General features: G+C 42.6%; 1 pseudogene, besides 3 other annotated features; it reads right to left on the bottom strand.

Moving 5' to 3' along the window:
- Nucleotides 7,121-7,230: an enhancer, noted in NCBI's record as "active region_16618". NCBI's record gives its function as "activates an Ori minimal core promoter by ATAC-STARR-seq in GM12878 lymphoblastoid cells {active_cell/tissue: GM12878}" and the evidence as "EXISTENCE:reporter gene assay evidence [ECO:0000049][PMID:35858748]".
- Nucleotides 7,763-7,952: an enhancer, noted in NCBI's record as "active region_16617". NCBI's record gives its function as "activates an Ori minimal core promoter by ATAC-STARR-seq in GM12878 lymphoblastoid cells {active_cell/tissue: GM12878}" and the evidence as "EXISTENCE:reporter gene assay evidence [ECO:0000049][PMID:35858748]".
- Nucleotides 8,483-8,592: an enhancer, noted in NCBI's record as "active region_16616". NCBI's record gives its function as "activates an Ori minimal core promoter by ATAC-STARR-seq in GM12878 lymphoblastoid cells {active_cell/tissue: GM12878}" and the evidence as "EXISTENCE:reporter gene assay evidence [ECO:0000049][PMID:35858748]".
- RPS29P8 (ribosomal protein S29 pseudogene 8) lies at nt 16,407-16,695 on the bottom strand (annotated as a pseudogene).

Here is a 17,188-nt window from a genome sequence, read left to right as displayed (position 1 = left end):
TTGAAATGCTTATTTACCTAGAATATCCTCATGTAATTCTTTTGAGCTATTTTATAAAATAACATAACTTATTGAAAAGTGGGGGAAAAGCCTTTATGGCAGATAATCCTCACAACCCTCCATGAGGAGGGTATGCTTATGATTCCCACTTAATAGAGGGAGAAACCAAGGCACAGAAAAGTTAACTGATCTACCCATGTTGATAACAGATACTAAGTGATAAAGTTGGGCTGTGTTCCCACATATTCAGATCCTAGGGGCTGCACATTTATCCCTTCAAGAGAAAAACAGAGATCTGGGAGTTGGTGATATCCTTTGAGCAATACTTAAAGCCAGCCTTAACCAGAACTTTCCAGAAACATGGGCCAATGATACTCTTTTTGTTAAAACCAGAGGGTTGTTTTCTGCCCTTGGCAGTTAAAAGAATACTAATACTTACTTCAAAGACTTTTTTTTTTCATTTTTAGATCCAGATTCCATTTTTTGCTTTGAATTGTTATTTCTGTGCCATACTGACATCTTTAATAAATACATTCAGAATATGAAGTATATTGTTGGCACCATATAAATATGCTGGGTAAATAAATTTGTGCCTCTTACCTTTAACCTCCTCTTCAGTTCCAACCCTTTACTGTTCCTTCCATGCAGTAATCAAACTAGTGGCTTATGCTCTGATTTTCCTTTGGTGTATGGTTTCTTTCTTACTTAAGGAAGTTCTAGAGAAACACTTTATTTTTTATTGTCTGGAGCAAGTCTTAGATGGAATCTTATAGCACTTTTCAAATTGTCCTTGAATTATTAGCCACAGAGTAAGAGTTGTTGCTTTTATCAGTTAGCTGTATTTTAAAATTCTCAGGTGAGTATGTGTGGTCATTTCAGGGCATCAGCAAATATGGTGGTTAATCTGTACCCTTCCTCCATCTGTTCTCCACCCTTCACTGCCCTTCTCTGCACCCTGGATTGGGGGGAGGTACACCCATATACACCACCTCATGAAGCCCATTTTGTCCTATAGTTTCTTGATGGAAGGCATCTACAGGAGATCAGAGTCAGAGAATAGAGATGTTGGAGTATTTCTTACCCCACATTCTCCCTGCCCTTGATACTGTGGTCAGCCAGTGGCTTTACCTTCAGGATTATAGCTCCTATCAGTTTGCTCTCTTTCATTGGTTCAGCTGTCACTATTTCCTCTCCTTGGCCTTCAGGCCAAGCTGGGTGTGATAACAGCATTCCACTCTTGCTAGGCCCTGGGTGCCTCAATGTGGCAGATTGTTTCTTCCAAAAGAACAACCATAGAATTTCTTCTCCTACTTGCTCTTAAAGAACCTTGACATCGCTGCATCAAAAGGTGGAATCTTTGTCCCCTCCACCCCCCTTGAACCTGGGATGGCTTTTGTGTTGGCCTTGACAAATAGAATCAATAGCAGGGACGCAATGTAGCTTCCAAGGCTAGGTCATCTCCTTTAGGTAAACCTTTCTCCTAGCTCTCTTGGGACATGCACATTTAGAGCCTTCAGCCACCATGTAAGAAGTCTAGTTACCCTGACAAGAGACCATATGGAGAGACCACATAGAGAGAGAGCTCTGTCTGAGGACGCTGGTTGTTGCAGCTCCACCTGTGTGAGCCTCCCCGTCTAGGTGCAGATATATGAATAGGTGGCCTTCCGATGATTCTTGTTCTAGCCAATGTCTGACTACAAATGCATGAGACACCCTGGTGAGAACTACCCTGCTGAACCCATTCAACCTCCTGAGCCATGAGAAGTCATATACCACTAAGTTTTGGTGTAGTTGGTTAGGTGGCTATAGATAACTGATACACTCAACGTCCCTTGCTAGTTCCCTTAACTATACCCACATCTCTTCAAATTCCCAGAGCATGCCTTCTATTTCCTGTGGGACCCTGACTACCATGCTGAGAAAGACAGCATTATATATATATATGTGTGTGTGTATATATATATACATATGTGTGTGTATATATTATATATGTTAGAATCAAAAGATCCTCAGAAATCTTAGAGTGAGATCCACCCCTTTGGGTTACAGGTGAGGAAACTGAAGAACCAACTGAGTAAAAATCAAATAGAATTTTATAGGTAGGGAACTAAGGTCCTGACCCATGCAGTGACCCACAGCTCATTAGGGCTCAGATTAGAACGCAGCCCCTATCCACAGCTTTCCTCTACCTAGAGCTTTGTGATTGCTGATTTATCTTACAAATATATTATGCAACTTAAGTCACTTTGGGTCTTGGTGCAGTTTTCAGTCCCAAGACCTCTGATTGTTGGGGTGTCAACAGAGCTCCGTTATTTTTTACTGCAAGAATTATGTGCTGTGGTGTCCGTGCCTGTGTGGCCCTGATTCCAAAGCTAAGCAGATTGTTTGATTGTTTCTAATGAAGACAGGCAGCTTCTCTTTGGAGAATGGCAGAAATGGCTTCTTGGCTGTGCCAGCCGTCTCCTGGAAGCCTTTTCTCTTCCCTTAAAGTCGCTGTCACAGAAACTTGCCGTTTGTCACTCTTGAGGCCCAAGGAACTATTATAAGGTTGTGTGTGCTTCACTTAATGCTGAAGCTAGGTAATTATCTTAGGTGTGCATAGACACCAAACAAAGATTCTTAATAAAAGAACGCAGTAATTTCCTTGTCATTGTCATTTATTCGGTTATTCATGCTAGAGTCTGCTAATTCAGATTTGGATGCATTTGTGTTCTTGTGTGTGTGAGTGTGTGTGTGTTTATCACACATGCTTTCTGCTCATTAGCCAATCTATGCTAAAATAATATTCTTATTATTTTATTCTTTTAATGTAATTGTATTTTAAACTTTTTTTTTTTTTAAATTTTGATTTCTTTCTTTTTTCTTTTCTTTTCTTGCTCCACAAGGCTGGAATGCAGTGGTATGGTCTTAGTTCACTGCAGTCTTGACTTCCTGAGCTCAGGCAATCCTCCCACCTCAGCCTCCTGAGTAGCTGGGACTAAGGTGCACACCACCAAGCCCATAATGTAATTGTATTTTAAGAGGCACTTCCTAGAGAGATAATGTTTAATAAAAAAAAGTGCAGGAATTGGGAGGAGTAGGATTGGGACTTCAGATACTACCTTAGGACTTTTTCAGTTTCAGAAGACTGCAATCCAACTCAAACCAGCGGAAGCAGAAAAGAAAATATATTAGTCTCGTATAATGAAGTCCAGTTAGAGTACAACTAAATCAAGGTGCTCAAATAATATCATCAGGAATGTGTCTCTTTCAGTCTCTCAGGTGTTCTTTCTTTACTATTGGCTTCAGTCCCAGGTAGGCTCTTAGCTCAAGGTGGTAAGATGGTCACCAACAGTTCCAGATTTAGCCATCCCAGTGGAAAAATCATGTCTCTTTCCTTGTAGCCCCAGCACAAATCCCAAGGCTGGCTCGCATTGCACCTCTGTGACTATAGATAAGACAGTTTCTAGATTACCGAAAGTTGTGCTATAAACCTACCCCTGAAACCATAAGACCTAAAAGTAGAAGGGGATGGTTCCTTAGAGGAAAACTGGACTGCTTATACCAGAAGAAAGAGGTATAGATGCTGGTCAAGAATAAACAACAAATATCCACCACAAAAACTTGGCAAGATAGCTGGGTGCGGTGGCTCACGCCTGTAATCCCAGCATTTTGGGAGGCCGAAGAGGGCAGATCACCTGAGGTTGGGAGTTCAAGACCAGCCTGACCAACGTGGAGAAAACCCGTCTCTACTAAAAATACAAAATTAGCTGGACACGGTGGCACATACCTGTAATCCCAGCTACTCAGGAGTCTGAGGCAGGAGAATCGCTTGAACCCTGGAGGTGCAGGTTGCGGTGAGTCAAGATAGCACTGTTGCACTCCAGCCTGGGCAACAAGAGCAAAACTCCATCACAACAACAACAACAAAAACAAAAACAACAAACTTGGCAAGATAGTATCACTCCCAAATTCCTTTGTGTGGCTATGAGGCATTTCATGACTTGCTCCCTGTTGACACACCCAGCCACCCTGTCTCTGCTAACCACTCTCGGTATTAAACAGCAGACATGATGACCTTCTGGCAGTTTGCCCCAGGCTACCGTGCTTTTGGTCACCTCACCTCTGGGCAGTGGTGTTGGTAAGTGTTTATCAACTCGCTCTTCAGGGGCAAAAAAATGCCCTGACAATATTTGCCAATTTCTGTTGTGTAAATACCCTCATCATGACTGATTTCCAGCTAGTAATGTGACATCCATGAATGCGGAGTTGGGAGGAAAGGCCACAATCCCCTTTTCCCATCAGTGCGAACAGGCTTCGGCACACCTCTGCCTCTGAAGTCTTCACCTATTCTGTTCTTTCTGCCTAGAAGGACCTCTCTAAGGCCCTCTACTTCCCCACAGACACTTCCAGGTAATTCCTACAGGTCTTCAACCCCTGGCCCAACTGTTGGCATCTTGCCTGGAAGCAGTCCTGCATCCAGGACCCCTATGTTTCCCTTTAGTACAGACACTCATAAGTGTCTCCTATTAAATGATAAGCTCATGGCATCCACCACATTTTGCATAGTACCTACTACATAATAAGTCCTCATAGTTATTGAATGAATGAATGAATGCACTCCTTGTGTCTCAAGAAATCTCTTTCTGTGGGCAGCTGTCTACTTTACCTGGCAAAGGACAGAACACATTTACTAAAAAGGCAGACAATACAGCTTGGAAATGACTTTCCAAGGGTTGGGCTCATTGCTTGTTCTCACTTCATTAAGATGCTTGTGCACAAGTGATCAATAATTCACTTTTTGGTCCCCAGGCCTATGTTTGCCTTCACAACCCGTGAAGCCCCAGGGAGGCATTCATTAGTGAATGAGAACCTTACGCAAGGATGGAAGATGTTGTATGAGCTGAGTGCTTTGCTTATTTTTGTTTGTAAGAAATGCTTCCCAGAGGGGCAATACAGCCATCAGAATGGGGTGCGTAGGGCATGGCAGGGGATGCCAGGTGGTGGTAGGAGGGAGAGAGGGAAAAGGAGTGCCCAGGAGGAAAATTTGAGGGAAACTAATTCATTCCCAACATCTTTCTTGGGCTTGAAGGGAGTGAACATTCTATACTCAAAAGTGCTTTGAAGCTTGGTATAATATTGCAACCCTTTCCTAGGAAATTATACATAATGATAGATCATTCTGATTCTCAGCAATATGAAAAAATTCTGACATCAAATATGGCCAGCACCTCAAAGAAGGGGTCAGTTTCTATTTACATAGGAGGTAGAAAATAGCTTTTAAGCCTCCTGGGTATCCCATGGAACAGACCCAAATGCATATGTTGCTGTCCTTCCTTGTGTCTCTAACTCCAAGAAAGGTTCAGGTTGGAGTGCATGTATGGGTACACATTCATGTGCTCACAGGCTGTGGTAGCAACACAGATAAGAAGTGGAGCACCGACAGCTACTGCCTCATGAGTGTCCTTTATAATTACATGGCTCTGCTGAAAGGAAAGAGAACTATTAATATCATTGCTTGAGCCTTATGATGTTCCATAGCATCCTTATTATTGGAAGGGTTTTCCCTTCCTTCCTCTCTGCTTCACTGGCTCCTTACATTCCCTCCAACAGTTTCTAAGGCACCTGAACATAAGGTCTAGACTTTGTCTTTCAGAACTCTACAGCCAAAAGAAATGATTCTTTACCTGGGTCTGTAATCCCCAAAGGGGCCTAGGGTTAGATTTTGGGGTCTTGTGTATGCCTTACTATGGAACACAAAATTCCAATTGTCTAGAGAGGAGTCCATAACTTTCATTCGTGTCTCAAAAAGGTTCCTGAAGCCCACAATGTTAAGAGATGAGCCTGTTGCTGAATAGAATCAGGCTGCAATCAAGGTGTCAGGAAGGTACTGTGGTCTTACAATAACACTGTATGGTGGTCTGAGCTCAGAGGTGATGCCCTGAAGGAGAAAGCAGGTGAGCTTGGGCCTCAGATATGTGAAGTTTAAATCATGGTTCTGCTACTGAGTCTTTGGGAGACCTTGGGCAACTTGTGTAACCTCCCTGACCTCAGCAACCATACTTGCTTTGAGGGTTAAATGGACAATGTACAGGGTGTTTGAAAAGTTGGACAACATAGGACAAATTTATGTTTAAACAGTATGTCAGTTATATTTTCCAATACTGTGCTCAATCTATTTTTCTTCATTCTCCAGACACCTTTTCAGGTGAAGAACTTCTCAACTTAAAGCAATGAGTCCAATTGTCCATTTGAAAAAATACAGTAAGTACTTGTTTTCTCTGTGTCCAGACTTTTGTGAACCCTCTGTAGTATATACTGAAATTTAGAAGAATTTTACTTGAAAAGCTGTCTGGAGATTGAAAAAAGAGACTATTGAGCATACCATTTAAAAACAGGTTTGTCTTATGTCCCCACACATTTTGGACACCCTCTATCTATAGGTTGTTGAGACACTGATATTTTATTTTTTCTGGTGGAAGAGGCAGAGGTATGCAACCCCAAAGAAATCAACTAGCAGCACAGCTAGGGCTCTCCTGATTCTTACTCTACAACCCATCAACTGTTCACCACAGGCATTTGAATGTGTAGCTGGCCATATGCCCCTGTCCTCCTGTTCGTCCGTTCCTCTATCTTTCTCACTGCAGTGGCAGCAAGGGATTGAGCAGTCCTCCTGAATGTTTCATCCTAGACAGGTAACTACCCTGGATCTGGCCTGAGGGGGAAAGACTGTTAATCAGAGAGGAATGCATGAATGTCTATTCATATGAATGTGTTTTTAACAAAACGAAGGTTAGAGAATAAGAATCCTGGGCCGGGCGTGGAGGCTCACGCCTGTAATCCCAGAACTTTGGGAGGCCAAGGCGGGTGGATCATGAGGTCAGGAGATTGAGAACATCCTGGCTAACATGGTGAAACCCCATCTCTACTAAAAATCCAAAAAAAAAAAAAAAATTAGCTGGGCGTGGTGGCGGGCGCCTGCAGTCCCAGCTACTCGGGAGGCTGAGGCAGGAGAATGGCATGAACCTGGGAGGTGGAGCTTGCAGTGAGCTGAGATGGCGCCACTGCACTCCAGCCTGGGCAACAGAGCAAGACTCCATCTCAAAAAAAAAAAAAAAAATCATGGAGGAATCTTGATCGCTCCCCATCAGGTTAGGTGTCCCAGCTGTGTGCCGCCAGAGGGCTCTGTACCCAGCACCCTGGGTTGCAATTGCTTGGTTTATTGTCTGTCTTCTTTCTGGGCTTCCATCTAGTGCTCACATCATGTCACAGAGCCTGATAGGCATATAATATGTACTCAACAAGTATTTTTATATGAATTACTTCTTAAAGAAATTTAATGTCTTCCTGAAAATTGAAAGGGAATATGACTTGGAATGATTGAGTTACATTTGGAGATGAAAATAAGAAATACAAGTCTTACTAGCAAAGCTAAACACCTGAGCTGTAATTCCCCCAACTTCTTTTCTCCCATGAAGTTATGTCATTAACATAAGAAGAAACAAATAAGCAAATAAGCACTAATATGCTAATGGATGTTATTAAAGAAGCCCTACCTCTTTGAATAAGCAACCTGACTTTCAAGAAATTATCCTATGCACATCAGCATAAAAGAAAATGTTTAAAGCTATTGGCTGCAGCATTGTTATCAAGAATAAAAAACTGGAAACAATTTAATTGTATAGATGGTCTCTATACAATGGTTCAACTTACAATTCTTCAATGTTACAAGCAGGGACAGCTGTGGTGCCATCGCAGGGTCCTAGCCCCACTTTATGGACATGTTCTCTGTGTGAGGAGCACACTAGAGACACTTTTGTGTCTTGAAGTAGTGAAGGCAATGGTTCCAAGCTCCAGCAATTCAAATAATCACCTTGAGGGTTTTTGGAAAATAGATTCCCAATTTATAATCCTGAAGATGCTCATTCAGGAGGTCTGGAATAGGCCCCAGAGTCCATGTTCTTAACAAATGCTCCCTGTGAATCAGGTTGATCAGTTAGGTTTGGGGACTGACTTCTGAGGGACTCATAGCAAGAGCTGAGCAGTCTCAGGCAGTTTCTCTATGACTCACTTCTAAAAAGCAGTGGTGGAAGATGTGAAAGAAGCACCCACAGAGCATATTAAAAATGCACATTTCACATCAGTAGAAAGTGGCTAAAATGACAAAGACAGACAACAGCAAATATTGGTGAAGATGTGGAGCAGCTGAGACGTTTATTCCATTGCTGATACGAGCATAAAACTGCACAAACTTTTTGAAAAACGGTTTGGCATTTTCTTACAAAGTTACACATACGCCTACCCTGTGATCAAGCAATTCCGCTCCTAGGTGTTTACTCAAAATAAGTGAAAGCATATGTTCACACAAAGAGTTGTGCGCTAATATTCATAATTGCTGAGAATGCAAAATACCTTCCGGTGGACACACCCTAAGGTGGCCTCCCAAAAATTCACAGCCTGTATAATCCCCTCGAGTGTGGGTGGAACTTGTGACTTGCTCCTAACCAATATAGCAAAGGTGATGAAATGTCATATGCCTACGATTATGTTACATATATAAGACTCCATTTTAGCAGGCTGGAGAGAGAGACTTTACTGCTGGCCTTGAAGAATTAAACAGCTATGTTGTAAGCTGCCCTTGGAAAAGGCCACGTGGCAGGGAACTACAGAGGGCAGCCTCCAGCTGACAGCCAGTACAAAGCCAAGATCCACAGTACTACAACTGAAAAGACCTGAATTCTGCCAACAACCATGTGAACTTGGAAGAGGACTTCGAGCTCCAGATAGTAATGGAGCTTGCTGACACTGTGGTTGCAGCTTTGCGAGACCCTGGCAGAAGACCAGACTAAGCCATGCCTCAGCTCCAAGCCATGGAAATTGTGAGCTAATGTAGATTGGACGTCCTAAGTCTGAAAACCCAATCTGAAATGCTCCAAAATCCAAAACTTTTTGCTCAACAAGATGCTCAAAGGAAATGCTCATTGGAGCATTTTGTATTTTGGATTTGGGATGTTTAACCAGTAAGTATAATGCAAATACTCCTAAATCTGAAAAAAATCCAAAACTCAAAACACTTCTGGTCCCAGACATTTCAGATAAGGGAGACTCAAACTGCAAATGTATGTTGTTTTAAGCTGCTATGTTTGTGATAATTGGTTATACAGCCTAAAAAACTAACACACACCCAAATGCCCCTCGGCAGGTGGTTGTATGAACAAATTGTAGCATATTCCATATGTAGCACAGTGGAATATTACTTAGCAATGAGAAAGAACAATTAATATCTATAACAACATGGATGACTCTCAAAACCATTATGTTAAGTGAAAGAAGCCTGGCTCAAAAGAGTATACAAGTGTGAGAGAAATCAGAACAGTAGTCACTTCTGGGAGGGTGGGTGACTGGCTGGAAAGGGGCCTATGGAAACTTTCTAGAGTGATGGAAGTTTTGGTTGAGGTGGTGGATTATATACATTTGTTGAATCCCATTGAAAGGTGCACTTAAAATCTGTGCGTTTAGTTGTATGTAAATTGTGCTTTAATTTTAGAAAAAGGCAAATACCCCTCTCTTCCAGATTCAGTGGGTCTAGGGCAGTAGGGTATAGAATTCTTCATTTTTAGCAAGCATCTCCAGACAATTCTATTGTAGAAGTCTTTTAGCCACACTTTGAAAAAACCCCAGGGCTGTAGGTCATTTAATCTGGAAGGATGGAGGAATCGGGAACATATGGTTTCTTCCAACTCAATCTAGCTTTCTCCCAAAGGACTTGTATTCTAATTAGAACAACAATGATTTTATTCATTATTCAGCCAGTCAACAGGCAATTTCATTCAGTTCAATTAATTAAGAGTTTCTGAGAACATGCTATTTATCTTATTCAAAGAAATCATAAGATGTAACCATTCTTCCAAAAGTGCTAAAATTTAATTGAGGAAAATACCCCTGTATGTGTGAAACTGGAAATGGTTCAATTGCAATACAAAGCAAACAAGATAACTACTCACTTCCTAGTTATTGAATCTAGTTTGTTTGTTTGTTTGTTTTGGTCACTTTCCAAAGTATTCCCAATAGCCATGATTTCCTTATGTCTGCGTATCTTTAAAGTCACTTTTTATGGCATACTCAGTAATTTTAATGAAGACTCAAATGTTCTTCCCCCTGTTGCTCCCATTATAAGGCTGTTGCTTCTCCTTTTGTCCATTTTTGTTCTAGTCAGTCATGAATCATGCTGCTGGAAGCTTTCAGGAGCTGTCAGTTGAGGATCATGACAATAATCGGCCCCACCTGCCTTCCCTGATATCTTGGCAAAGGCTTTGGTCCTGCCCCATGTTCCAAGAACCAACCAAGGAAACTGATTCTAATCAGAAGCCCAGCTGGACAGATGGAATACAATATCCTAATTCCCAGATGCGGCTGCTTTTTGCTGAGCTTATTTCACTCAGCAAAATTTCTTCAGCTTCCTAAGCATCGAATTTTAATCCTCATTAAGTATCACAACCTATAATAATGTTCACACAGATTCATACTTGTGAAAGCTTCCTGACAATTTTCTACTTCATTTTCCTCAATTCCAGGTCATTCTAAATGATGCTTTTCTACTATGGACAATAGAATGGTCAATGATCCAGAAAACGATGTTTCTCTTTGGTGATAAAGATAGAAAATTTCTTTTTATAATGCAAGAGTAAGACACCTCAGAGTAGTAAGGGCTTTCTGAACACTTATTTTGTCATTAAATTCCCCATTATCTAGAATATAAATCCAGGGACCTAAACAAGATAAAATACATTTACAGAAAAGTAACCAGGGTAGAGAATGCACAGGGAATCTTTGGTTCAAAGAGGAGAAGACTCAGATATAGCCTTCAATCTATAGCAGTGTCAGTCTACATGGCTACAAGAAATAAAATTAGGTCTGATGGTGAAAGGAACAGAGTGAAAATCTTAGTTCAATAAATAAGGAGACATTTCCTTACAAGGAGGTAACAGCCATTTATTAAATCACAGTTCTGTGGGTTGGAAGTCCAGGTACAGCATGGTTCTGCTGGGTCCTCTGCTTAGACCCTCATGAGGCTGAAATCAAGGTGTTGGTAGGTCTGGATTCCATTCTAGAGGCTCTGGGGATGAATCTGCTTCCAAGCTCATTCACATTGTCGGCCAGATTCAGTTCCTTGTGGGTGTAGGACTGAAGTGCTTGCTTCCTTGCTGGCTGCCAGTATGGACTGATCTTTTCTCCCAGAGGCTGCCGCCTTCCTTCTCATGCTTTCCATATGCATCTCCTGTTCAGCAATGGCAGGTTGAGTCCTTCTTATGCTTCAAGTGTCCCTGACTTCCCCTTCTGCCCGTCTCTCTGACTGACTCTTCTGCCTTCTGCGGCTGCTTTTAAGGACTCACATGATTACACTGGGCCCACTCAGATAATCCAGGATAATCTCCCCACTTTAAATTCAGCTAGTCACCTTAATTGCATCCACAAGTCCAAAGCAGAACTTAGATTAAATGTTTGATTTAATAACCAGGAGATGGGAATCTTCAGAATTCTGCCTATTGCATGAGTTTCTTATTCTCAAAGATAAAAATAATGCTGAGGAGAGGAGCACAATAGTAGCCGAAGGGAGGTCATCCTGGAGCTGCTCTACTTGGACCAGGACTGTGTAGGGAAGCACAAGGCAGCTACCAGTCGTCACAATGATTGGTGGGTGCTACTAGTGTTTTGGTGGGAGTGTGACAGGGATATTAGGTATCCTGTAGTGTTTGGGACAGTCTCGCACAATGAAGAACTGTCTTGCCCAAATTGCTAATAGAGCTCCCACTGAGAAACATCAGGCTAGACAGAGCAGCCCTGTGGATTGACACACATCTCTGAGTACATGCCCTAAACAATCAGCATGCCCATGTGCCTTGCTCACATCACCCTGCTTTTGATAAGATACAGGAAAAGGAGGAACACAATGCAGCTGTCAGAGTAACCAAGCCTACACACATCCCCTTGGGATCTGGCTCCTTCCAGAAAGGCTGAAGGGTTGAAAGGCAAATCGGTGACATAGGCACATAGCAGGCAAGCCCTGGGGTGTTGGACCACAGACATGACTCTGGATATGAAGGCTAGCAGCTGTAGAGTCCAGCCTTGCTCTTCCTGTCATCTGTCATGCTGGCCTCTGTGGTGCTGGAATTTTCCCAAAGTTAGAAGTTTCCTATGACTGGTTCCAAAGGGACTTTGGTGGATATGTTTTGTCAGGGAGTGCTATGCGGAGGACAGTCCTTGAAGGTACAGCCTGCCATGATGGTGGCAGGTGCAGTGACATCAATGAAAACATGTCATTCTAGTTAAGAATACCTCAGCATGCTCCACTGAGAAAAGTTTGAAGAGCAAACAGGAATAACTGGTGCAAATAAAAAGAGTGGAGGTAAAATGAGCCAGAGACCCTGGGGAGAAAGGGATAGAAAAAGGAAGTAGAGGGGAGACTAAAAGAGAGAGGACCTCTGTTGTTTGTGTAAGAACCTGACACTGACCAGAAGGTAACACAAGGAGAAGATTGCACAATCTTCTGGCTTCTGACTCCTAGTCAGCAAGGAATAAGACTGGGTCCTTTGAGAAGCTAGGCTGAGGCTATATAATTTGCAGCTAATACAGTCATAATGGTTGTGTGACATTAAAAACTGCAGGAAGCAGGTCAGGTGCCGTGGTTTATGCCTGTAATCCCAGCACTTTGGGAGGTCGAGGTGGGTGGATCATGAGGTCAGGAGATCGAGACCATCCTGGCTAACATGGTGAAACCCCGTCTCTACTAAAAAAAATACAAAAAATTAGCCGGGCGTGGTGGCGGGCGCCTGTAGTCCCAGCTACTCGGCAGGCTAAGGCAGGAGAATGGCGTGAACCCGGGAGGCAGAGCTTGCAGTAAGCCGAGATTGTGCCACTGCACTCCAGCCTGGGCAACAGAGCGAGACTCTGTCTTAAAAAAAATAAAAGAAAGAAACTACAGGAAGCATTGTGGAGTGTAACGTAAGGGGACTGATTTGCATGAGTGCATCATGGAACTATTTTTTTTTTTTGAGATGGAGTCTTACTCTGTCGTCCAGGCTGGAGTGCAATTACACGATCTCAGCTCACTGTAACCTCTACCTCCTCCAGGGTTCAAGAGATTCTCCTGCCTCAGCCTCCCAAGTAGCTGGGACTGCAGGCACGTGCCACCACACCCAGCTAATTTTTTTGTATTTTTAGTAGAGACAGGGTTTCACATGTTAGCCAGGATGGTCTCGATCTCCTGACCTTGTGATCTGCCCGCCTCAGCCTCCCAAAGTGTTAGGATTACAGGTGTGAGCCACGGTGCCCGGCCATGGAACTATTATTCCTTTTCAATCATATCATGTATTTCTTTTTTTGTGCCTCCTCATCTTCTTGACATCCAAATGTTGGAAAGCCTCTTTTCATTTTTATGTATACTCACTGCCCTGGTGAATTTATCCTAATTTAAATTTTGTTACCCATACACCAAAAACTCCAAAATTTATACATCTAGTCCAGGTGTTTTCTCTGAACCCAAGTTTTGCACATTAAGTTGTACACTTGAAATTTCTACTTGCAGTTCAATAGACATCTCATACTTAACATACCTAAATCTTCACTTAATATTCCCCACTAAAGTTGTTTCTACTCTAGTTTTACTCATCTCAGTAAATGACACTCCATTCATTCATGGTTAGATGATTTAGGTGGCAGGATTTTGAATCAATGATATAAAGGTATGAGACTGCTGGAAGAGTCTGGACAGGAGGAAATATATTATGCATGTTGGGGACATGAACAAATGGGGCTCTGGGGACATACTGTGATAGCCAGGCTTCAAGGTGGCCACCAGTAGTAGTCCCTATTCCTCTCTTTTTTTGTCCCATCTCCTACTGAATATGCCTACCTATGTAACTAATAGGACTTGCATAAATTATGGTATGCGACTTCTGAGACTAGATCTTTTTTTTTTGAGATGGAGGCTCACTCTGTCGCCCAGTCTGGACTGCAGTGGCAAGATCTCGGCTTACTGCAACCTCCACCTCCCAGGTTCAAGCAATTCTCCTGCCTCAGCCTCCTGAGTAGGTGGGATTACAAGGATGCGCCAGCATGCCCGGCTAATATTTTTTGTATTTTTAGTAGAGACGGGGTTTCACCATATTGGCCAGGCTGGTCTCAAACTCCTGACCTTGTGATCCTCCTGCCTCGGCGTCCCAAAGTGCTGGGATTACAGGCATAAGCCACCACGCCTGGCCAATCTTTTTTCAAGTATATGGTTAGTTTACAGTATATTTAAAGAGTGGTGCAACCATTACCAAAGTCTAATTTTAGAACATTTTCATCAACCCTCAAAGAAACCCCATACCCATTAACAGTCATTCCCAAGCCCCTTCTCCTCTCCTAGCCCTAGAAAACCAATGATCTACTCTCTACCTCTAAAGATTTGCCTATTCTGGACACTTCATATAAATGAAATCATATAATACATGGGGTTTATTGTTTAGCTTCTTTCACTTAGCATAATGTTTTCAAGGTTCATCCACGTTGTACATGACTCATTTTTGTTTCATCTTTTAATTGTGGAATAATAGTCCAATATATGGATATACTACATTTTGTTTATCTGTTCTCTGTGACTGTCTTGATCATCCCCTCACAGTAGCATTCTCTTAAACTGCATTCAATGCAGCTAAGGAGAAGCAGACCTCTTACCATCTTCACCATCTCTCATCTCTCCCTTTTTTTTTTTTTTTAAATTATACTTCGGTTCTGGGACACATGTGTAGAACATGCAGGTTTGTTACATAGGTATACACGTGCCATGGTGGTTTGCTGCATCCATCAACCCATCATCTACACTAGGTATTTTTCCTAATGCCATCCCTCCCCTAGTCCCCCATCCCCTGACAGGCCCCAGTATGTGATGTTCCCCTCCCTGTGTCCATGTTTTCATTGTTCAACTCTCACTTATGAGTGAGAACATGCGGTGTTTGGTTTTCTGTTCCTGTGTTAGTTTGCTGAGAATGATGGTTTCCAGTTTCATCCATGTCCCTGCAAAGGACATGAACTCATCCTTTTTTATGGCTGCATAGTAGTCCATGGTATATATGTGCCACGTTTTCTTTAGCCAGTCTATCATTGATGGGCATTTGGGTTGGTTCCAAGTCTTTGCTATTGTGAATTGTGAATTGAGACAGAGTCTCACCCTGTCACCCAGGCTGGAGTGCAATAGCGCAATCTCAGCTCACTGTAACCTCCGCCTCCTGGGTTCAAGTGATTCTCCTGCATCAGCCTCCCGAATAGATGTGATCACAGGTGTGCGCCACCACACCCAGCTAATTTTTTGTATCTTTACTAGAGACGGGGTTTCACCATGTTGGCCAAGCTGGTCTTGAACTCCTGACCTTGTGATCTGCCTGCCTTAGCCTCCCAAAATGCCGGGATTACAGGTGTGAGCTATTGCGCCTGGCTGAGACTAGATCTTAAAAGACACAGCTGCAGTCACCTTGCTCTTTTTTGGAACATTTGCTCTGGGGAAAGCCAGCTGTCATGTCATGAGGACACACAAACAGCCCTATGGGGAAGTTCTTATGGCAAGAAACTGAAGTGCTTACCCACAGCCAACACCAACTAACCACACATATGAGTGTGCTATCTTGGAAGTAGGTCCTACAGCTCCAGTCAAGCTTTTGGATGACCCTGACGAACATCTGGACTGCAATATCATGACTGAACCACCAGCTAAGCCACTGCCAAAGTCTTTACCCACTGAAACCGTGTGAGACTATAATATTAATTGTTTTAAGATACTAAGTTTTATGCTAATTTTTATGGAGCAATAGAGACTTAATACACATAGCTTTATCCTTAATGTCTTTTTCTCACATTCCACATCTAATTCATCAGAAAATCATGTTGGCGTTACATTTCAATATATCCAGAATCTGATCATCCCTTATTGTCTCCAGTGCCACACTCTAGCCCATCATCTCTCATGAGAATTTTCACAACAGCTTCCTTACTGGTTTCCTTGTTTCCACTCCTGCCCTACCTAAGTCTATTCTTAAAGGAGCATCCATGATCCTAGTAAGACATTAGTTAGATCATACCACTGTCCTCCTCAAAACCCTGCACATTTTCCTCATTTCACTCATATAAAGGCCCATATTCTTAGAGTGGCTCAATATGACTGCCTCCTCCTCCTTATCTCATCAACTACCATCCCCAGGGTCTAGCACAGGCAATGTGCACAAAAGATATTTTCTAAGCCAAACTGAACTGAAGTTGGGGAGAGAAAAGAGCAGAAAGATCCCCGTCATCATCATCATCATGCATAGGGGTTGGGGGGAATGGGAGATGGGAGGAGAATACTGAGAATAGGAATAAGCATGAAGTCTTTCAATAGAATTGCATTATTTATTTTTTTTCAAATGTTTATTTTAAGTACAAGAACTATCGTGGGTTTTCATTGAGTAGATGCCTTGGATAATCCTTTGAAGGAAGATCATTTAGTCCAACTTAATGAAACCGATCTCCTTCGCTTACTGACGGAAACACTGGCGGCACATATTGAGGCCATATTTCCAGATCAGACCATGCCCGTTTGAACAGACACGACAAGAATGAGAACCCTGGCTGAATTTTCACAGGTGGCTCCAGTATAGCTGCTGGTGACCCATCTTGCTGTCAGGAGTGCAATGAGGCCAAAGGCGAATTTCATTATTTTTTAATTTTTGTAGAGATGGGGTCTTGCTATGTTCCCCAGGCTTGTCTGAAACTCCTGGCCTCAAGCAATGGCCCCAGCTTGGCCTCCCAAACTGCTGGAAATTACAGGCATGTGCCAGGGTGCCTGGCCTTTTAAAAGGATTTCAAAGTGTTCCCTCCCTGCCTCCCTCACCACACCTTTAAAATCTAGATAGGAAGGCAAGACTGAGAGGTCAGAGAAGAGTGACAAGAGGGAAATGGACAGTGGGAAATGACAAAGGCAAGTTTCATCTAGTCCCTGTTTTCCAGAGCTGAGTCCTGAACCCTGAACTGCAAGGGGAGGTGTGCGAAGCTGTCCTGGATTCGAAAAATATACTGAGCATTCGAGCTTTTGTCCTCTAATCACAGTGAAGGTTTGTTTTTTTTTTTTGTTTTTTTTAAAGCCAACCATGGTCTAGTCTACCTTAATACTTGGCTGAGATATACCAGAGGGCTGCTA

This window comes from Homo sapiens, chromosome 2 (genome assembly GCF_000001405.40).
Source record: "Homo sapiens chromosome 2, GRCh38.p14 Primary Assembly".
Taxonomy (NCBI): Eukaryota; Metazoa; Chordata; class Mammalia; order Primates; family Hominidae; genus Homo; species Homo sapiens.
The sequence above is the reverse complement of the archived record's forward strand: the minus strand, read 5'-3'. Positions and strand labels throughout refer to the sequence as shown.